We start from the raw sequence: 23533 nt of genomic DNA on the forward strand, positions 1-23533 counted from the left end.
TCCCCTTCAGGAAAGTCAAGAGTGGCAGTGTCCACATATCCTATCACTTGCCAATTTAAAAAAAAAAAAAGGATAATCACCAAAGGAATAGCTGCTAAGACCCAGCAGAATCTCATCTGCACACGAACCTGCCAAGCTGCTCAGATATTATATTATACTACTATGGAACTCATGTTATAATATCTTCAATGTAAAGAATCATTTCAGTGAGCGAAGCACTTTTTTTCTTTTCCAAATCCTGTTTTAATTAGAAAATTGATGGCAAATATGGAACTACCACCCCATAGTTACTTTAAAAAAATCTATTTGGAAGCCTTGAAAATATTGGTGAATTATAAAAGAAATTGAATTCTGATACTTTTCTCCCATTTTATTGTTCCCTATTCCCTGAAAAGCCTCCAACGTTGTATTTCTGTAGTTTGGAATAAGGACATATTTTGCCCTTAGAAACTGCAGGTATTCTAATTATATGTAAATCAGTTCACAGAAATAAATATCCATGGTTAAAGGATATTTAAAACGTTAAAGCTTTTTCTCAACTGTTCTCTGTTTAAAAAAAAAAAAAAAGTCTGTTTCCAGAACCCTGGTGGCTTTAACACCGTTTTCCTCTTTCATGAATGCACACAAGAACCTGCTCGTGCGATATAGTTTCTGAGGTGTTCTCCACTCTGAAAAAGCAATTCCATGTTAACTTCCCTTTCCTGACAGTTAAAACTTTTTTCTCTCTTATTCAGAATCAAAATATTTAATTGGACAATGAAACTGAATAGAAATTAAGAAGGTTGTTCCCATGTTGAAAAAGGTTTCTTAAGTGTTGTCTTTTACTTTCTGAAAACATTGCCACAGTTGTATTTTTAAAGGATCATTATTTCCCTGGTATCTGAATTATATTTTAGTCTAGTCTCCTGGCTATAAACACCATCAAAATGATGATGATCCCCAAATTTCTATTTCCACCCCTGAGTTCCAGGCTCATGTAACCAACTGCCTATTTAATATCTTCACTTGGTTGTCTAATAGGCATTAAAAACTGAGCCTGTCCAAACCTAATTCCTGATCTTCTGCAAATCTGCTCCTCCCTAACTTTCTCCGTCTCGACAAAAGGCCCACACCTTGCTTCTAGGTTCTCAGGGCAAAAGCCTTGCAGTTACCCTTGATTCTGCCCTCTCTCTCATAATTCACTTTCAATTTATTAGCTGAATTCTGCTGGCACCCCTCAACCTATGTCCAAAATGTTACCAGTTGTTATCACTTCCACCATTATTACCCTGGTACAAGCCACCATCATTGCCTACCTAGATTTTTGCAATGGTTCTCTCTTTGATTCTGCCCTTGTCCTCCTACAATCTGACTTTAACACTGCAGCCAGAGTGGTCCTTTTAAAACATAAAGATGATGTCATTTCAATGCTGTAAATCCTTTGTGGCCTCCCATCCCAACCAGTGTTAAAACAAAGTCCTTTAAATGGTCCATAAGACCCTGTTTAGCCTCATCTCCTGCAACTCTTTCCTGACTCACTCAGCTCCAGCTCGAATATATCAGACCCACTTCTGTCCCAGGGCCTTTGCACTGGCAGCTCCTCTGCCCAGAAGGCTCCTCTTCGGATATCTGCAAGGCACTCTCACCTCATCAAGTCCCCACTCCAACATCACCCTGACTACTTACAGTGGCAACATCCTCACTCCTAGCCTGCCCTCCCATCCCTGCTACATCTTTCTTCATATTACTTAGCATCATCTGACATACTTTATATTGTACTTATTTGTTTATCTGTTATTTTCTTCTACTAGATTACAGACTCCATAGGGACAGGGATGTTCATCTGTTTTATCCACTGTGATGTCCATGCAGAATGGTGCCTGGCACACAGTAGACAATAAACATTCGTTGAATGAATGAATAAAATTGCATTCAGTGGTGAATCAATGTGTTTGGCTAAATTAGGGACTCATGCTTACTTTTCATGCCTGATAACACTTCTCACTCACATGTTTGTGGTGATTGAACCAGTGGCTGCCCCAGGAAGCTCTTGTGACAGGACTAGCAGGTGCTAAACCTGTGTCCAGACTTTAGGGATGATTTCAACATCTGAATGTTCTCGTGTGCTGCACACAGCATGCTGGAATACACTCCTGGGCTCGCTGCACAGGGTCAGTCACTGCAGGCACGCTTATGGACTGGTCAGCACAATTCTCTCATATCAGGAACTAAGAAACCCTCAGGAAGACCACCCATCCTGCAGGGAAAACAGAGCTTCAGGGGTCAGGGGGTATGGGTGATTTAGAAGAAAGTCACATGGAACCAGGAAATCAGCCTCTCTCACACACTCTTGGCTGGTCAGGGGAGGGATGTAAGTAAAAATGGAGACTTATTTCACTAAATGATAGACTACCTGCAGACAGGTGTATGACAGAAGAGAGAAGTACCTTCTCAGATACCATACCATGCATCTCTATTTCCTCTACATTCTGCGAGCTGCCAGAGCGAATGGTCTGTGAGCTCAAGAGATACTCTTGGGGTATATTACAAAAACATGCAGGAAGGGCTGCAGGCCTGAGTGGCCAGCCTTGTGCTAGACCTTCTGACACTGGTTTCTGTTGCTAACATGACCTTGCTAGTAGCCAGAGATTGGCTGGGTCTGGAGACATTTGGGCCCCTTTTGGATGGCAGTTCCAGCTCTGATGCTTGCCTGGATACTGTCTTGTGACATCGTCAAGCTGGGGGTTAAGGCTGCCCATGGAGGGGTGATTTCGGGTGTGAGATCAGACGTCACCAAAACAAATGAGCCCAGGCCCATCAGGCATAGTGCATTAGATGAATTCTGAAAAATTCTGAGATGTGGAGAAATCTGATGAAATATGTCATAAGCAGAAAGGGCAAGAAATGTTTCCAAGTTTCATTCACTCTTATGAAGTGACATCTAGAAAGAAAAGGAATCAGATAAAAAGGAAAAAGCAAATTATGATATTAAAAATTCATTCCCATTTAGCAAATTTGCTATTAGCATCACAATTCAGGATATTTTAATAATTCCAGCCTCACAGAGGTAGCATAATTGGATGCTTCAATGATGGGATTTAGGGAACACCAGAAAAATCCCTTCACCAAAATCACTTCTTCAACAGCCTGAGCTCACCCACTACAGCTGGACATGCCAGGTTCTTCCCTGGCTTCTCTTCTAAAATCCACATTCCCCAAGGGGTCAGCTACGGAGACCCAGCTCTTCCTGGTGAGCAGGTGGGGCAGATGAGGGCCCCAAATCCTGAGATGGGGGGGCAAGAGGGAGCATGAGGTGGACAGTCAGGCTCCAGGCTGGCCACCCTGCACCCCGGGGGCTCATCCTCCCTGAGCACTTCTTCACAGCCTGACCAAAAGTGCTCAGGAGGGCAACATGCTCTGTGTTCTTGTCTAAATCATTGAAAACAGAAGAAGTTCACAGGAAAATGACATCCTTCAGCCAGGGAGGTGTCTTGCCAGGTTCCGGTCAGCAAGGGCTGAAGTGTGCCCTGCCCCCAGCAGCTCGGCTTGGCAGCACCAGCCTGTGGTGTGGCTGAGGACCCACCTGCCTCCTTCAGCCAGGCTCCTTGGGAGCATCTGGGACTAGCAAAGGATGCTGCTATTACGTTACCTCAAATATCCACCCTCACACACCAACTGAGAACCAAGCGAGTCCAGAGGAGATAAGCCCTGGTGGAGTCAATAATTCTGAGGCTGCGAGTGCCTCTGCCTTCTACAGCCCAGCTCAGGGAAAGTGAGTTTATTCCCAGGACCACAGATCCACCCAGCCCATGCCCTAGGCTAACCTCCCCGCACTGCAACCAGAGGGACTTCTGAAGTGCTAGGCTGAGCCTCTCTGCTCTCTAGCATAAGAGTCATTAAGAGTTTCCATGAACCTCAAGATAAAGACCCAAATCCTAGCCTGGGGTCACTAGATGCATGAGATGTGAGTCCTGCCCCTGTCTCAGGCCTCCCTCACCACATTCCCTCAAGACCCCTGTGTTTGCTACACGCTCCGCTCCCAAGATGCCCACACTGCTGTAGGACCCATGTCCTTCCCTCCGACAACACACCCTTTTCCGTCGTCAACATAGCAGTAAATCAGCTGAGAGAGAGGGATATTTGACATAAATTGTGGATGTGCCTTTCTGAGCATGAGGTGGCTATCATAAAATACATAGAAACTCCACAGTGTTTTTAATATGAATTGAACTGGTAAAAGTACTGCCAGGCTGGGCTAAAAGAAACTGAGTCTGTTCAAATTGCAAAAGGACCTCTGGATCCTTAATTTTCTATGGCCAGAAAACAGGCTGAGAAAACTACTAAGCTGTCTACATCAACCATGTCTTCAGAAGTAGCCATGGAGTGTGACACAAAGGAAAGCGTGGGCAAGGCCAAGAGCCCGGGGAGTGGAACCAAGAACTGTGGACACACTGGACTGGGGCATCATTTCCAGGGAGTAGAACAGTGGTCTAATCAAGGAATACTTTTCACCCCAGAGTTGGGGGCCCCAGCAACATTTCCACCCTGTGGGATTTCAGAATTATTATGGAGTAGTAACTAACCTGTTTCAAACAGGAGAGTTTATTGCTATTATGCTGTCCCTGTCTCATCAGCACATGCTGAGGGTGTGGGAGACAGATTACTTTGCTCTCTCATTCACTGGGTCTCCAGAACAAAAAGTGCTCCATCTGGATTTTTATGTAGATTTTATAAGATCCTGAATGTTAAGCATTAGGCCAGGATGGGATGAGACTTTGAGGGTCTTCAGAGGGAGTGAGTACATTTTGCGTGTAGAAGGATGTGAATAATTTTGATCAGAAGGCAGACTGGTATACTGGTTGTACAAATGGCTCCAATTCCATATCTACACCTTTTGGGTGTGGCTTCACATCTCTACCCATCAGGACCTGGATTCCATCTCCAGATCCTTTGAATCTGGGCTGACTATGAAATTTCTTTGGCAGATAGAATGAGGAAGAGGTGATGTTGTACCAGTTCCAAGCCTAGGCACATCAAGGCTACTATTCTTTTGCTTTCTTGGTTTCCTGCCTGCTCCATGAAAATAAGCCAATACTAGCCTGCTAAGGGGCGAGACCTTGTGAAAGACAGCCGAGGTGCCCCAGCTGATGGCAGACAGCCTCTGGGAGCAGAGTTCCCTTGATGACAGACAGCTGATAACCCAGGAATGAGACAGCCCCACCAAGACCAGAAAAACTGTCCAGATGAGCCCTGCCTAAATTGTCAAACTGCAAACAATCTATGTAAATGCTTGTCATTTAGGCCGCTCAAGTTTGGTATGGTTTGCTACACAGCACTACATAACAGATACACATGCACCATCTCTTTTAATCTTCACAACAACCAAAGAGATAGATGCTGTTATTATCCTTATTTTGTAGGTAAAACTAAAGGTTAGAGCAAGTTTCATGGGTATATAATGTTACAAATGCTTGTTCCTCAGTGCCATAAAGAAATAGCACTTGAACATAAATTTAATTTCCTCAGCAAGGCCATTTTTACTTTCTGCAGAAAGGGTACACTCGCCAGCAGTTTTGCCACAAGAGTACACCGAACAAAGGAGACAGGGTCATTTATAACCTGATGCATCCACTCTACTGCTGTGTCCGGTTTCCATTGGCTGGAATGGGACCTCACATTCTATATTTGTCCTGATTGGCTAGCAACTTAGAACATTTTAAAAGAGGCAAAGGCAGAGGAAAACAAAGGAAGGAGGAAGTAACTTGTGGAATGCTGAGAAAGGTAAAAACATGTTCAAATAAGGAAGAGGAACAGGCTATGACCTAATGCTTGCTTGGACCAGTATAAGCATGCCAGGGCAAATATTTAGGCTAAATTGTGGGGGCTAAGAACGTAAAGTACATTGATTTCTTTATTATGGCTAGCAGATATTTAAGAATGTTACCACAGGTCTTTGAATAAATTTTGCTTCTAAGAGAAGTTACTATTTATTCCTAATTAGATGGGGAGGAAAGCCTTTGAAGAGGAACCTCTACTTTACTTTTTACACTAAGGTCGTACAACTAGCAATGGCTTTTAGTCAGCAGAGCTGTTTGTTAATATCCTGGTTCTCCTTCCAGGCACTTGGTGAGGTTAAAGTTGAGGAGAGAGTCTTGGGATGTGCTTTGGACGATAAAACTCAAGCGGAAGCAATGTGTATTACTTCCAGGAAAAAGACTATTATGAAATGTATTATTTGCAATGTTTGCTTTCTCTTGCTACTGTACTCAGTGGTGCCGTAGATAGTGATGGCTCCTACAGCCCAGGTCTCTCAGTGTGACTTGGAGCACAGCCCCCAGCCACCTCATGATGGGCATGAAACATGATAGTGAAAAAACCCATTTTTGGTTTAAGCCAGTGCGATTTGGGATGATCACTGCAGCATAGCATAGACCATCCTGACTGATACAGTGGCTGAGTTAGAATTAAACCTCATATCTATCTGGTTCCAAAGCCCATGCTCTTATTCATGAATGTATGAGTGAATAAATGAACTTTGTCCAAAGGACAAGACCAACAGTGCTAACTGAAGTAAAAGAAGGAGAGAGAGAAAAGATTAAAGACAACAAATCAATGCAATTGAGACAGCAGAGGTGAGGGGAACACATTTTCTGTCCAGGGTTCAAAGCATCTATGGAGGTGTCAAGAAAGGAGGTTGTTCCTGCCACAGCTCTCCAGAGCTGTGCTGCAGGGCTGTGAAGAGAGCTGGCTTCTGCTTCTCATCCCAAGAGATTTGGAAGAATCAGCTTGTGAACCCAGGAAATCTGAGACAGATTTCAGTTAATTTAGAAAGTTTATTTTGCCAAGGTTGACTATGCACCCATGACACAGCCTCAGGAAGTCCTGACGACATGTGCCCAAGACGGTCAGGGCACAGCTTAGTTTTATACATTTAGGGAGACATGAGACATCAATCAATATATGTAAGAAGTACACTGGTTCGGTCTGGAAAGGCTGGACAACTTGAAGCAAAGGCAGGAAGGCTGGAGGTGGGGAGGGAGCTTCCAGGTCACAGATGGGTGATACATAAACAGTTACATTCTTTTGAGTTTCTGATGAGACTTTCCAAAGGACACAAATCAGATAGCATCTATCTCAGTGAGCAAAGGAGTGACTTTGAATAGAAAGGAAGGCAGGTTTGCCCTGAGCAGTTTCCAGCTTGAGTTTTCCTTAATGATTTTGGGGGCCCAAGGTATTTTCCTTTCACAAACTGAAAGCAGGCACTACAGGGCTTGCTGTGAGTACAGGTGTGGCACCTCCAGCCCTTCTCCATGATGCAGGAAGCTCAGCAGTCACCAGGGCAGAGCAGCCCCAGCCTGGACCACCCAAAGTCCCTCCCAGGGCAGGGGTGTTCCCTCCTGGCTCTGCTATCCTGGCTGTTGCTCACTGCCGGATATTCCTTCCCTAAAATTAGGTGGAACAGGGTAGCTTGTCAGCACACCTGTCACTCAAACCGCTTCAACTCAAAGGTAACCAAGATTGCCTAATTAACCAGCTCAGATCCCTAATTTGACATCTCACGATGCCTGCCAACCATTGTGGATTCAAATTCAACTCATCTGCTTCTACTTTGAATTCTCCAATTTAAGTGACATTTCCAGATTCCAAACTTTAATTCTATGCAAATCAACACATGCTTATCTAGAGCCTATTATATGCACAGAGCTCTGGCCAGGAAATAAATAAAACATCTTCTCTGCCTCCAGGGACTCACAATCTAGTGAGGGAGAAAGATACAAGTAGAAGAAACCGCAATTCAAAGCAGCATTTGATAGGGGCTGTAATGGAGGGACAAAAGCAACAAAGAAGCCAGGAGGGCAAGACTCAAACTCTCCAAGTTCCTCTAAGTGCCAGAATTAACTTCTCTGTTTTTGTTCTTACTATAATTTTTCACATTGCCATTCTTATTGTTTTTGCCTTAATAATGAGTAGTCTTAGGAACATATTTAAACTTTTGTGATGACCCTGGCAATCACTGAAATGATAATTACAGTGCACGCTGTGATACAGCAACAACAGAGGCCCCCACCATAGCAAAGGTTGGGGGCCTGCACGGGGGCTCCAGGTCACTACGTTGTGAGAGGACTGACAACCCTTCCTCCACCAGCGAAGGGCTCCCCACACTGCTGTCTGTGAATCACTGTTTTTATCCTGCCAACTTAAATCATTCCCAATGATCTGGGTGCTGAAGGCTGTTCTGCCTTTCCACCGAGTAAAATGCATCAGCTGTATGACAACAATTTCCCCCTCTGCGAGATATTTGTTCCCACCTACTACAAAGCTTTTGGCTATCTTCTTAATGGTGGAGGTCACTGCAGTTCTGGCCTTTAGATAAATGGGGATTGTAGGATCATTTCTAATACTACCAGTAACCATGAGGATATACCCTTCACACAAAGTAACCAAAAGAGAAAAAGGATCTTCATGTACTATAATAAATAGGAAAAGCTAACTTTATTAATTTAGATCCCATTAAGATGAAAAGAAACCTTGAGAAATCCCGTAGAGAACGAGACAGGCATACCAAGGAGACTTCCATATGTGTGTGTGTGTGTGTGTGTGTGTCTGTGTGTGTGTGTGTGTGTTAATAAAAACCGAACCGATGCATGAGAGCGACCTTTTTTGGTTCTGCTCCCTGGGGATCATAGTGTATGTCAGAATACCATGCCTGGCACACAGTGGTGCACAATAAATTCAAATTGAATACATCAGTGCAATCACATGAGTTGTGTGGGTAATGAAAGGGGAACGTGCTCATAGGCGTTAGGGTAGGAAATTGAATGTTCTTCTTCACATAAGCTGGTAGATTTCTCATGATAATCACATATTCATTAATTTAGCCAAGAAACCTATTCAATGCACTTGTATTGAGTTCATCCTATGTTTCAGGCGCTAATTTAGGTACTAGGCTCATTGCAGTGAATAAGTGCTCGTGGAGATTGCATTCTAGTGGTGACACACAATGAAGAATCAAACAAACAAACTTAAAAATCAGGTCGTGATTTGTTCTCTAAGAAAATAATCTATAAAACTGTGACCTGATGGTGTTGGGGCAGGGGGGTCCACGGGGGCTCATGAAGGCCTCTCCGAGAAAATGGCATTTAAGTAGAGACCTGAGTGATAAGAAGGCTCTTTCCATTCATGTGACAGGAAAAGCACCAGGGCAGAAGAAACAGCTAGCACAAAGGAGCTCGTGTGAGAAAGAGCTGGGCATGGAAATGGGAACACAGAGTAACTGGAAAAGTGGGAAGTGTGTTTTTAAATTGACATTTTAAAAAAGAGATTTGTTGCCAATATCTCCAAATCGCAATTTGAAGGAGTCAGCAGAAGCCAAAGATTTTTAAACCAGCCATTCTTTGCTACCGATGGCCTAGTGTGGTGGCCAGAAGGCTGTGGGTCTGCACGGCTGGGCCTCTTGTTCCCGTGGCCGTCAGGCAAGCCACTCACCACTCTGCCCCAACACCAGTGCCCACAGGGGTGTTTATGAGGATCCAATGAGAGAATCCGCTGTGTCAACGTTAGTGCTGGTGCCAATGCCTAGCGTGGTGCAGTCCCTGGCAGCAGGCAGGACAGTGCCTGAGTACCTGCTGGACTGGGTCACATGAGGGCTTTCTGCCAAACCAGGCCCCAGGACTTGAGATTTAACCCTTCCTGGCTAGCTTGTAAAATATGTCCTTGTGACCACCCTAAATTGACTGGGATTCACAGTACACAAAAAATGGGGGTTAAAGTGGGAAGAGCCTACTAATTTCACCCGGGCAGATCTTAGAGAACCTCTCAGGGGATTGCAGAAGGGCAGGAAGGAGTCACCATCACTCCTGAGGCTAGCCAGGGGAAGCCTTGGTCTCCGGGCCTGGCAACAAGGCAGAGTCAGCCTAGGAGAGTCTGACAGGCCCTGGGACCAATGGGAATGCTCCAGGGCCCCGCCCTTTGTGACTCTGCCACCTAGACACAGGCCCTCCCCACCCTAGACTCCATGACCAGGTGCCAGGGGGCTGGGAGACCCTCAGACGTATGAATGAATTAGAATGTTTACTTTCTGCTGGAGTAGAGGATTTAAGAGGCGTCGTTAGAGACCACAGCAAAACACAATATGGGGTGGGAGGATTACTTTCTGCACATTATATTTGTTTTCTAAGAAATATCTTATCTTAAGAATTTTTAAAAAGAAGTTTCCAACACTGAAATTAGTATGGAAAAATAAACGAGGTCTACACATTTCTTCTATCTTATAACCCTATGGACTAACACTGCCTCTGGGATTTTTCTGGTTACTTTTCAATCCCTTTCAGATAGATGGAGAAAACTCATAACAATACCTTTTGTTAAGAACACTTTAAATTCCAAGTGTTCTTCATTCTCTTAAAGTGATCCTGTTTCTAATAGGGCTTTTTACTAATTAGTTTCTTCTTTCAAAATTTCAGTTCTCCAAAAATCCTTTGAAATGTAGCTGTTCTCCTTGCATTTTTCTTTTTCTTAGAATAGCCTTCTTCTCAGCCTTAGAAAGAGTTTGATAATAACCAATTTGGAGCTTAAAAGCAAAAAACATTAGTGCTAACATTGCCAATTTTCTATTACATGAAGATGTAAGAACACCATGAGGTTTTGCTTTTCACTAAATCTACAGGCTCAGATATTTAAAAGATAGATTGCTCTTTTGGCCTTCTTAGAATAAAACTGAGTCAATTTTGTGTCAGCCTGAAAATTAAATTGTGAATATTGTTATAATGGAAATTTCTTATATTTGCAGACCAGTCCCTTCATCAGAAACTGGGAAAAAATGTATATTTCTTTACTTCTCTTGTCTAATTCTGTATTCTGTTGAGTCTTTTGATGTTAATAGTTTAAATTACTCTGAGTACTTTTCCACCACGAGGGTTTTAATCCTGCTTTCAAACATCTATAGATATAATGATGTGCTTCCCCAAATGCCATAAGAAATTTTATGAACTCTTTTAAGAACCCTTCCCCGGAGAAGATGCATGTAATAGACGAAAATGTCATGTTTCATTAGTACATTCGTGCTCACACAAATTTAGTCTTTGGAAAAGATAGTGCTTGTAAAACTGAAACCAAAATTGACAAATTGTGCCTCTGCCTCTGTTTAAAGGCTGAAATCCTCAAATACAGGATCGTTCACACACACGTCAACCTGAATCCATAAAACATTTACTTTCCCCTGGAATGAAAATTCTTCTGCTAAGACTCTTTTCCTGAGAGGCAAATCTAGAGGGCCCGAGTCCTGGGCCCTGGAGGTCATTTAGCTGGATTCCATGGGATCTGGGCAGCTTTATCCATGGTTTAGCCCCTGCATGGATGTGGATATGGAATTGGGAATGCCTTATACTCTCATTGTCCATGCAACAGCACATTAAGGACTTCTGAGGTCTCTACTGCACTTTGCCTCCAGCTATGAAACCAGAAATGCTTTGTGCAGAAAGACCATTAAGTTAAGAAGCAAAGTCGATTCCATCCACAGGAGATACTAACGGAAGGATAGTAAAAATGTATCCTGCAAGTGAATAGACTTAATTTCTGATCCTAAGAAAATAGTCTCTCCAAGCTTTAAGCAGCCTAGAAAGAAAATACGACATGAAGAGTCTAGCAGAGCATTCAGATCTGTAACTTTGGACTCAGTAGATAATTTAAATCTGGAATCTGCCGTTAATAACTCAGGGACTTTCGTCAAGTTGCTTAACATTTCTGAGTCTTAATGTCCTCAAGCAAAGGATTAAATAAGATGCTGTGTTTATTCATTTATTTATGGACAAATAACTACCAAAAATACTACAAGGGCCAGGAATTATTCTAGGTGCTGAGAAGAATGCAATAAACAAGCCAATAAGGTTCCCACTCTCATGGAGCTCACATTTTTTAAATCATTTTTTAATTGACAAAATTGCATATATTTATCAAGTGCAACATGATGTTTTGAAATACATGTATGTTGTGGAATGGCTAAATTGGGCTAATTAACATATGCATTATACCTCACAGAATTATCATTTTTGTTCTGAGAACACTTAAAATCTACTCTCTTAGCATTTTTCAAGAATATAATATATTGTTATTAACTACAGTCACCATGTTGTGTGTGGAGCCCACATCTTAATGCAAGGAGACAGATAATAAACCAATACATGTAGATGATGTTGGGTGGTGATAAGTACTAGGCAGAAACATTTTAAGAGCACTATTCTTGCTGTGGTTGAGAACAAACTCTAGGGAGACAGAAAGAGAGACCAGTTAGAGGGCTGTTGTAATAAATAATTCAAGCAAAAGGTAATGACAGCTCAGACTTGGGGAGTGGCAGTAAAACAGTGAAAGCTAGGCAGATTCTGGAATTACTTTGATGGTGAAGATGATGGAATTTGCTGACAGCTTGGAGGTGGAGTATAATAAAAGCAAGCCAACAAGGGTAATCCCAAGATTTTAGATCCAAGGAGCCATTGGATCAATGTTGGTAGCATTAACCGAGATGGGGAAGCCTGGGAGAGGGGCAGGTCTGTGTTTGAGCGTGTGTGTGTGTGTGTGTAGGAGGAAATCAAGAGTCCAGTTTTGGACATGCTCATTTTGAGATGCCACTGAGGCATACAAGTGGAGCTGTTGAATATGGAAGTGAATGTATGAGTTTGGACTTCAGGGAGAGAAGTCGGGGATGGAGTTACAAATATGAGAATCATTGCCGTCTAGCTGGTATTTAAACCCCTGAGACTAGATAAGATTACCTAGGGAAGGGAGTGCAGATCTAGGAGAAAACAGAGCCCAGGATTAAGGCCTGGAGAAGTCAGTATTTTGAGGCTGGGAAGAAGAGCAGGAGCCAGCAAAGGAGGCTGAGAGAAGTGGGAGGGTGGGCGTGGCAGGATACGGACAGAGAATCCTTCTGCATCATCACGTTGTTCCACACCACATTGCTGTCGATCAGGGATCTCATTTCACAGCAAAAGAGGTATAAAAATCTGCTCAGCAACATAGCAAGGCTATATCACTGGATCATGAGCAGGGAAGACACAGACAGAACCTGGAGGAATCTGTGTGCAGGCTTCCCTATGCCCTCTCCCTCTCAGGAGAGGACACACAGAGCTCACTCTTCCCTCAGCAACATGCATGCAACATTTCTGCCCAGGGAAGCTCATTAGAGCCCAAGGTTTTAATCATAGGCTGGTCACACAAGCACCCTCTGCCTAGCATGTACCCAAATTCCAGACTCCCAGGAGGAAAGCAGATGTTCAGCATAAACCACATTCTCGGTACAGTTTAGGCACAGTGAGCCACCCTTATCATTTAGGGACCAGCCAAGTTCCCAGACACTGGCCAAGCACAGCCTTGAAAGAAACCTTTCTGTGGGTAGCAGTCTCAAGCCTGCCATGCTAACTCCTTTTTGCACAGTGGGGATCGTGCTCCCTCAAGCATCTGAGGACTCAGTGCTGGTCTTGGACCATTTCCTAGGAACCTGGGTACCCAAACTCCTGAAAGGCCTCAGAAGGTGTGCCCATCACTTCGGGGAAGCCAAGAAGGGACCTTCTTGGCATGGACTCAGAGAGCTGGAAAGTAGTTGGATTCATTCTAGGCCTCACCTGGGAATTCCTGAAAGTAAACTCTGACAGTGCCTGCAAACAGGCCACAGCCAGTCATCTATTTGCAGAACAGGCTGTCTGCTCATGTCCTGAGCATGTGGGAGCTTCCCTTCTCCATAGGAGGTCTCTGCACATGGCCTCCTGCTTGTTCCTTAGTCTTCTGACCTCATCCTATCCCAGGCCTACCCAGATCTCAGGCTGCATTTTCCTGGACTATGGCAATAGCCCCTTATCTCTACCCCTGGCACTATACCTCCCTTTCCCTCCAACCAGGTAGCTTCCTGTCACTACTCTCCCAAGAAGTCCACCCCATACTACCCACAAACAGATAGGATGCACATGTGGCCATGGATAAGACTGTACTAGAACTCAGAAAAGTCAAGATGGTGAGAGGAGCTAGGATGTCAGAGCGATGGGCAGGTGTCTTCTTTTATTTTGTTTCTGTAAATCATAAAACCTGATCATGTCAAACAACCTCTGCTGGCTCCCCAAAGTCTACATACTAAAGCCCACATTGCATTCCACAGCATGGCATGGTCTTCCATGCCTTCTCACTCACTCATTAATTCATACTTTCATTCATTTGCTTGTATGTTCATTCATTTATTCAACACTACTGAGACCTACTATGAGGCCCTGTGCTGAATTCTGGAAATACACAAACAGCACACCATCCTCCGCACTCTATAGCATGCGGCTAAGAGAGGGGGCACACCTATGATCCAAGGATTTCCACCAGACGTGTAGCACCTGAGCCAGCTCCAAACACAGGATCCTTTCCAAGGTGGTGGGCCCTGCCCTTCCAGCCCACTCTCATACCCCCTCCTTCTGTGGGATCCACATGACCGAAAGTAAGCACTCCCTCTCCAGGGTTCCACAATACAAGGCCTCCACTTCTTAGAGGATTACTGAATTTTACCCTCTGATCTCCTCTTCTTGATGATCTCATAGAGGACAAGAAACAGCCCATGTTCATTATTGCAGAAGAACTTGCCTCCCAATGTGTCCTCAATACACACCTGCCAAATGAAAACTCCTTGTCAGCCCCATGAGACAAGGCTCTTCCTTATAGGCACCCTGTCCCCACCTTTTGGCAGAGGGGAGGGGTAGACACGAAAGCCCTGCAGTTATCTGGTTACAGCAGAATGAATACTGACTGACCTCACAACAGCTGCCATCTGCAAGGACTTAGAGCATTGGGGATTCCATGTTAATGACTTCACGTGTGTTCATTCTTGTTACAGGTGAGGAAATTGGAGCTCAGAGAGGGGAATGCCTTGCTCTAGGTGATGCAGCTCATCATGGGCACAGTCAGAACTGAACCCAGACCTGTGGGATTCTGGGGCCAGAGTCCTTCTCCATCATGTGCAGTGGCCTCTCTACTCAGGCCTGGATGTCTGAAGGCTGGACAGAGCAGAGGCAGCCAGGGCAGCTGAGGTGTGCATGGCACAGGGCTTGTTCTAACGAGTGTGCAGTGAGCAGTGCAGCACCAATCTCCTGGAGGCGGACAGGCAGGCAGGTGGGCAGGCAAAAGCCCCAGGCTTGGCCTCCTGCTTCGTTTCCAGATCCTCAGTTGTCCAGGGAGGGCAGACCCCGGGCAGTCCTTGGCAAGCGGTCATTCACTCCCTTCTTTCTCTGAGCTCCCCCTAAATAATGTGAGGCCTGGGCCAGAAGCGGTGAGTGAGGCAGGGCAGACCTCTGCCACACGGGCATATGCGCTCCTGCCTCAGGGGGATTGGAGGGGACTGCAACAGCCCTTCTTCACTCCAACAGAACTGAATCAGATGTTTCCCATCTGGAGCTACCAGACGGACTTGGCTGCGGCCCCCATGGAGTCTGTGATCCAGTCCTAGATACGTTAATATATTCTAAAGCCAAAATGTAAGAGTGATTTACTCATTGAAAAATCAAAGGGGAGAATGTCTGATCATCCTCTCACTGAGGAAAAAGAAAAAAAAAACTTGACAATTGTCATTGATAATGTGATGTACTTGACTTGCATGTTTCTGGGGCTCATTATTACAAAATGTGATTTTAGAAATGCTGCTAATCAGGAGGAATTGGACCCCCCATGAGAGAAGCAAGGCTGGGAACATTCCAGCTGGTGGAAGCTCTGTGTGATGGGAAAGTAGAAATGACCCATCATCAGAGCAGGGTGGGCCTGGTCTCTGAAGGACCCAGCATTCCAGACTCGTCCTTGGGTCCCTCTTGTATAGAAGAGACTGCTGAGAGCCACCCTTTGGCCCCAGCCTACCCTAAAATCCACCTCTAAATGAGACCCGGAGGATGCAACCACCAAGCCACACTCAGGAAATGAGCTCCTGGCATGGAGAAAGTGGGCTGTTGCTGGTGGTTCCACAGTGGTTTCGTTCCATTGCAGAGATTCCCCAGGCCTGCTTGCAGAGGGTAGGCTGGGCAAGTGAGGCTCTCAGTGCTTTGTGATACAGTAAGAGGAACCCCAGTGTGGCACCCACCCTCTTGGCCCAACTGACATCCTCTGCACAAGGATAGCCCCACCCACAGTCTCTGTCTGGAAGGGAGGAAATGCAGCAGCTCAGACCCTATTCAGACATGACATCCATCAGAGTGGAACTAAGGGGCTCTCTGAAGCAGAGAAAACTTGCCAGGGGCAGAAGTGTGAGTTCAGCCTCCCAGGTAATGTCAGAAGCACTTCCTTACTCTCATTCCCAATCCCCCTAGTCTGTCCCAGATCATAGCACCCATCTCACTGCATTGTTATTTTCTCCTGTTTTACTCCTCGAACGCAGGGACTGCCTTGAATTCATGCTACCTAGAATAGCATAAAGCCCCCATGTGTAACCCAGTGGGTATGGAAAGGACTTACTTGCTAAACTCCAATGCTGGCAATATGCACAGCTATCTACTACAGGAAAAGTCTTTAAGGAAATGATGCCGCCCCTTTCCAGGCACCTGGATGATGACACATAGCAAGGGGCTGCCCTGGAGACAGAGCTTCTGAGAACAACCCAATTTGTGCACCATTTGTCACTGCAGCCATGTGACTGGGAGTCCTGAATGGCTATGGCCACAGAGCAGCCTGAAATGCTCACACATTCCACCCAGCTGAAAGGAAAGGAGGGCTGGTGGGTGGGGTGGCCTCCTGCAGAAAGAGGATGCGGGGTACAAACTCCTACGGCAGTCTTGATGTTCAGGTTGAGAGGCTGCGTCATAGCCTCCCTTCCTTAGGATCCATGTGTTGATGCTGAGGCCTGTGTTGGGGCAGTGACCCCAGAGAAAACTACCAAGTTCTCCATTGTAGCAGAGTAAGGCTTGTGTACAGTTACCCCGCAAGATTTGCTTTGGACACCACTGAGCCATCTTGGTGGGAAACCCAAGTGACTAATATCAAGATATCTTTGGAAGAAATATTTATTTAGCCTTTGGGATGTGGTTGAAGCCTTTGCACATCACAGAGAAGCAGAAAAAGAGATTTGACATGGTCCATATTTTCCCGAGTATTTTCTAGGTGTGTCTGCCAAGGGGTGTTGAAGCACAAGGTGCAGATCGGCAAGGTTTGCATATTTTGAGACCAGCTACAGGCAGAGGGAAACCCTAATGAGAAAAGATGAATATTATGTTTGGTATGCAGGGAGGGCACCAGTGGACAGTTACATCTGCCATCCCCTAAATTAGAGCTATTTGTCCTCATAGAATTAATTGCAGAAATAAATAAAATTTATCTTCAATGTTTGGCATGCTATCTTAAAAATTAGAATTCATGAGCTCACATTTTCAATAACTCACATAATAAATATAGACAAACGGATGTTTTAATGCAAATTTAATACACAGTAGTTAAATTAATGATTTTTCTCCACTCGTTTTTAATTGAGAAAAAAATCCTCAGAGCCACACCATATAAATCAAACTTGCCAAGCATGTTTGCGTGATAGAGAAGTCGGCACGTTCACAGGCCATGCATCAAGATCCGATTTGTTTAAAATAAATGGCTCCTGTTTCCAGCTCCAAACGCAGCATCATGCTAATACATATTCCTAACTGGCCATTTATTTCCTTTTTCCCCCTCTCTTCTCAGTTTTATATTTTCTGGATTGAAAACATAACCAAGGACGTTGATTCCCAGAGGCCACGTGGGTCAGGAATGCTGTGTTCGGTAGGATTAAAGAGGTGATGAAGCTTCTCCCACCACCTCAAATGCAGAAAGGCAAGGCACCTGCTTCAGAACTGGACTTGGGCTGCTGGATGGTGCCGCAGGAGCCCTCCCTGCTGGGGCGAAGGTGGGTGCGGGCACAAGGAGATGGTGAAGGACGGGACCCTGGACGTGGGCTCTGCTAATTGCTGCTGCGTGTAGCTCATCTTGCCTCATCCGCAGTGATTGCCTCTTGATTTCATGCTAGATGGCTATACTGCTATCAGGAGCCTCTTGGTGAGTTTGTGGACCATACCAAAAAGGCATTTTTATCACCGACTTAATGCCCCATGGCTGACAGGGAACAGGCGAGAGAGAGAAGTGATGCTACTGCTCGGGCATTAAAGGGATCATTAAGCTCTGCGTTCGGAAAGGTCTTGTTTTCAGTTAGATGTCAAGCTCAGGGCTGAAAGTGACGGGTAAGCAAAAGATAGCAGGCGGGGATGCTCACCTTGTCTGGGCAGCTTCTGCCCTGCACCCTCACCTTCCTCTGTCCTCCCCGACCCTCGCAGGTCAATGGCTGGGGAGGGAGGGTGCAGAGGGGAGAGCACCCGTGAGACTCCAGCCTAAGTCCACTTATTGGTTGCATGCCTCTAGGCAAGTGATTCAGCCTGGACTCCCTCCCAGTACTTGTTGCTTCTCTCTCTCCTGAACCTCCCAAGCGCAGAAAGGCAGCTACTGGCACTGACCTTCTCCCTTATCCCAGGCCACTTCTGCAACCAAGACTTCACAGTTTTCTCCCTCAAGTACCCATTGAGGCCTTTCTTTAATGCTTGGCAGACAGAGTTCCATACAGATTCTCTGTCAAACCTAATCCCTGGTCTTTCTGCCTTCGAGTATCCAGGGACTCATCATTGAGATATAGAGTTTGTGGAACATAAGCATTCAACCAGGGGACTCGAAGCATTTCAAGAAATGGGAAATTGTCCTCATGGTACAATTAACTGGTGCATGGATATCACCCACGGTGATGGCAGTCTGGAGAGATGGCTCCATGTAAGGAAGAAATCAAGCATAATTGAGGGCTGCATAAATTACGGATGACCTGGGGCAGCTGTAAATAATGAACATCCCCAAATAATTATTCATTGTTTTATTAGGCATCCTGCTTCTTTCCAAAGAGAAGCTCCAGGGATTGAGATGTATTTGTGACAAGATTTAAATAGCAGACATGCTTCACTTTAGTCTACACCCAGAGGACCTGCTCCAAACAGCCTATAAATTCTTCTCTAGCAAATGGTTGGTAGCATCGAACTCTAGACTAAGTGAACAGGGCCTGTCCAGCCTTGGCAGGGTCAGCCAATCAGTGGCAACAGAAACACACAGTTCTAATTTTCAAAGGGCATGGGCAGCATCTCCTCTGGTGCAAAGGACTTTCAGGAGCCTGCCCCTGGGGCTCAGCATCTCTCCTGGGATGGGGCCCATCCACTCTTTTGGATGGTCATTGGATTTCTTTTGCTAGAAATCTGTCTTTGAGATGACAAACCCTTCCCCATTCGATTCAAGGTTTGTGCGCTTTGAATATGGCTCCTCGGAAGAAACATGACAGCTGACATTGAGGCACGGTCCTTGGCCAGCTGCGTTGGGAAAGGGAAGCTAAAATGGTCCAAAGAGAAAATCTCCGTCCATATAGCAGTGACCATCAAGAGCCTAGCACACGCTGTGTCTACAGAGAGGAAAACACCCAGATGTGCAGAATGTAGTGATGAAACAAGAGATATGTGTGTGCTTGGAGACAGTGAAGTGCTGCATTCATGTGAGGGATGCTCACCCCTGTGGCTGCCAGAACACTCCTGCTGCTTTCTAGCACCTCCGCAGGCCCCACCCAGGAGGGAACTGCCTCACCCCTCTCAGTGGGATTCTTGAGCCCTCTTGGGCACCCACAACATGATAGTCCTGGAAGGCTGGGACAACTAGCCAGGCATGAGCCAGAGGGTATGGGCTTATGGCCAGTGCTGGCAGGAGGCAGGCAGGCCCCAATTCTCTGGGGACAGATGCCTGTGAAATCAGTCCCAATGCCTCCACTGGCAACTGCCTTAAAATCGCACACCCTCACTGTGTCCCAGCCGTGTCCCTGAGGCTTATCAGCTCTGACATACTCCCGATTCATTTATTTTTCTTATTCGCCACACAATCTCTTCTAGAGGGGCATCATTTCCCTGGCAAGTGGCACGGTTGTCAGATCACCTGATTAAGAGGTCTGCATTCATTACTGTGAAACTGCCCAGCCCTGCATCTATGAGGCGCCCACAGGACAGCACAGGGGACTCTGTTCTGGGATTTTTGTTTTCTCCCCTGATGTCAAATAAAAATTATAATTATGAGCATCCTACATGTCTTCTATGACAAAGCTGTCATCCCTCTGGCCCTTACTGGCCTTGGGAAAATAATCTGTGTAAAAGTGAACAGCCCAGACCCCAGAGTCAGACTGCCTGCTTTCAGACTCTGTTCCTCTACTCACTAGCTCTGCACCTTAAGCAGTGTCATCAAACTCTCCTCAGTTCTTCCATCTGTAAAATGGGGATGAGAGAAATGCCCACCTCAGAGAGTGGCCAGTAGGGTCACATGAGGTAGTGTTACATGAGGTAGTGTTATAAGGTAATATTATAAAATGCTCACATTGTGTCTGGCACATGGTCAGTGCTTTATAAGAGTTACACGAATCAGTCAGGCCCATCCTTTGGATAGTTCATTTTATTCAGTGTCAGAATTAATTGTGTTTATTGGATGTGGCTCAGAAGCCACCCCATTAACACAGCATGGATAACTGACGTGTATGCCCATGTCTGTGCAGAAGCTTCCCCTTATCCACACACGTTCTGTCAATACCTGCAGGCCAGGTGGGATAGGCAGCAGAGGTATTATCATCCCCATTTCACATACAAAGGGACTTCAGGTCAGGGGATAAGGGAAATGACTTATTCAGAGTTACAAGGATAGAATAAAACCAGGATCACTTGACTCATGTGTTACTTTCATTGATGTTTACTCTGATCTGTGCATCAGGAATTAAGGTGTAGGCAACCCAGGCTGCCAGAGGGGAAGACTCCGGAGAACTGACCTCTGCAGAAACACATTTTGCAATGGAAGTAAGATTGTGTGGGGAGCAGCCAGGCATGGAAGACTGGTCCGTCTGGACAGTGGTTGGTGGGAAGAAGCAAAGGCTTAGTCTTGGAGGGTGAGATGTTCCCCGGGTGAAGGAGGCGGGAAGGGCACTGCAAGTGTGCACACAACAAAACATACACAGGCACCAGAGTAGGAAACAGTGGCATGCCTGGGAGCCACAGGTTGCACAGTGGGACGAGCCTGTGGCCCAGGGCAAGTGTCGGGGGAACTGGGACTGAGGACCCCACATGTCACAACTCAAGGAGTGTGGACTCGATCCTGTGGTCAGCAGGGAGCCACTGAGAGGCTAAATAGGGGGGGCATGGGTTGTATGGTAGGATCTGCGTGATAGAAATACTAAGAAAAGTGATTGTGTGGACTGGACTGGGGAGGAGGGCAGTGAGCCCAGCGGCAGGGAGGCCAGGTTGGAGCCTTATGTCTTTTAATTCAACCAGCCCCTCTTATCTGCCAAACACTCTGTGGCGTGAGGCTAAGTGGTAAGCAAAACAAAGCCGCAGCCCTCTTGGAGTTTACCTTTCAATCCCGCAAGAGGTGATAAGCTCCTCAGCCCGGGTAGTGATATTCCAACACAGAGAGGAGGAGAGAGATCTGAGGAACACCCAGGGGGGCTTTACAGGGCGTCAGTTAAAACTCATTGCACACTGGAAGGGCTTTGGAAAGCCTTCCATTCTTCCTACTCACTAAGGAATGCCTCCAAATTCAAACATGTTTTGGGTTGCCAAAACCAGAAGGTGGTTTGTTTAGGCACGTTCCTTATTCTCCAAATGCATACATTCAACTTTCAAATTAAGAATTATAATTGATGATCTAGATGTGGCTGCTATGAATAGAGATCCAAAATAGTAGTAGCCTAAATAAGAGAGACGTCTATTTCTCTCTTGCACCACAACTTGGGCACCATCAGTGCAGGCTGGCGCCATGGCTATTGCACACAGTGTCAGGAGCCCAGACTCCTTCAATCTGCCTGCTGCTCCCATCCCCAGGGAAGCTGCCTCCTCCCCAGGTCCCAGATGGCTCACCCCCACTATGTTTGCATTCCTGACAAAATGGGAAGGAAAAAGGGGGAAATAGAAGGCAGACCCTTTAAAGGAACCACCTGGAAATAGCTCACATCACTGTGCTCAGCTTGGCCGGAACTCAGTTAACTGGCTAAACCTAGCTATCAGGAAGGCTAGGAAATGTAGCCAACTAAAAATTGGTGGTTCTAGGCCGGGCACAGGGGCTCACGCCTGTAATCCCAGCACTTTGAGAGGTCGAGGCAGGCGGATCACTTGAGGTTAGGAGTTTGAGACCAGCCTGGCCAATACAGTAAAACCCCGTCTCTACTAAAAAATACAAAAAAAATTAGCCAGGCGTGGTGAAGTATGCCTGTAGTCCCAGCTACTCAGGAGGCTGAGGCAGGAGAATTGCTTGAACCCAGGAAGCGGAGGTTGTAGTGATCCGAGATCACACCATGGCACTCCAGCCTGGGTGACAGAACGAGACTCCGTCTCAAAAAAAACAAAAGCAAGCAACAACAACAACAAATGGTGGTTCTAGAGAACGAGAAGAGAATAGATGTTAGGAGACAACCAGTTCTCTCTGGCATAAAAAGTTTTGGTGCTTTGTCATTGACTTGAAAATGCTTTATGACTCAGCCTCGAAACAGTCCTTGTCCTCCACTGTTCTCAACCCAGTCATTCTGAGGACAGAACAGAGATTCTGTAGACAGAGCTCACACAGAAGATAACTGAATTTAGCCTCCAAGGGAGATAAATAGGTCTCGCTCAGGACTCATTTTTTTCTAAAGTCAATGATTCTGACTTCCTCAGTAAACATGTGACTGATGGGAAATATGACAGGGCCCACAGTTCTGATGACCTGCAAGGTGGAAACTTGTGCTTAGCTGCTGACTGTCCCGGACTTTCTGTTTTGTCCCTACCACGGGGCCAGGGATGTCATCTGCTGGAGCCCCACGCCAGGCGAACTAAATTTCAGAGCCTGGAGAAACAAAGTCCTGTAGCCTCCTCACACGACTTGGTCCTTTAGCTCCTGGGTGTGGGTGGCAGCCGCTCACTCAGGGTGACAGGAGTCCTTGCTGCAGGCAGAGCGTCGCTAAGACTCTGGTGTCATTGCTTGGGTCCCCAAGCAGGGCCCTGCAGCCAGCCCCTTGCCATCTGCCCTCCCCGTGGTCCTCAGTGTTTTCCCCTGCTCCATATCCTACTTTTCTAACCCCTCCACCCAGTCTCTCCACAGTGGCCCGGTTGGCCAGCCAGTTTCTTCCTTCCCACCTCTTCAATCTGCCCTTGCCTTAGTTCCACAACAATCTCCTCAGGGCTCATCTTGGACCACTCCCTTCCCTTGTCCAGATAACTCCCAGCTAACCACACCTGGGGCATGGTACCCTACTTCTGAGGCAGGAGGTCCTCGTCAACAGCACAACTGAACCCCAAACTCGAGAGCAATTATATAAGTTTAGAAAACATTGCTTGAGGCAATCTACAGTGCCAAGCAGCTACTTCAAATTCAGTAAGCCTTTTAAATACATTTGCATTTTTTTCCCACAATAGCCTCAATGTATTCAGGTACAGTAGTGGGTATATGTGTGAGAAAGATTATTTATTTGGTCTACAGATAGTTGCGTATGCTATGCTGGGCACAG

General features: G+C 45.8%; 1 protein-coding gene across 1 annotated transcript in view, besides 1 other annotated feature; it reads right to left on the reverse strand.

The window, feature by feature from the left end:
* The window catches only part of FSTL4 (follistatin like 4), a 645613-nt gene that overhangs the window by 469573 nt on the left and 152507 nt on the right, over positions 1 to 23533 (reverse strand). The window lies entirely within an intron of this gene.
* Positions 18160 to 18324: a silencer, noted in NCBI's record as "fragment chr5:133019878-133020042 (GRCh37/hg19 assembly coordinates)". NCBI's record gives its function as "represses an EF-1alpha promoter that drives an FKBP-Casp9 reporter gene in an ReSE screen in phorbol 12-myristate 13-acetate-treated (for megakaryocytic differentiation) K562 erythroleukemia cells {active_cell/tissue: K562(+PMA)}" and the evidence as "EXISTENCE:reporter gene assay evidence [ECO:0000049][PMID:32094911]".

This window comes from Homo sapiens, chromosome 5 (genome assembly GCF_000001405.40).
Source record: "Homo sapiens chromosome 5, GRCh38.p14 Primary Assembly".
Taxonomy (NCBI): Eukaryota; Metazoa; Chordata; class Mammalia; order Primates; family Hominidae; genus Homo; species Homo sapiens.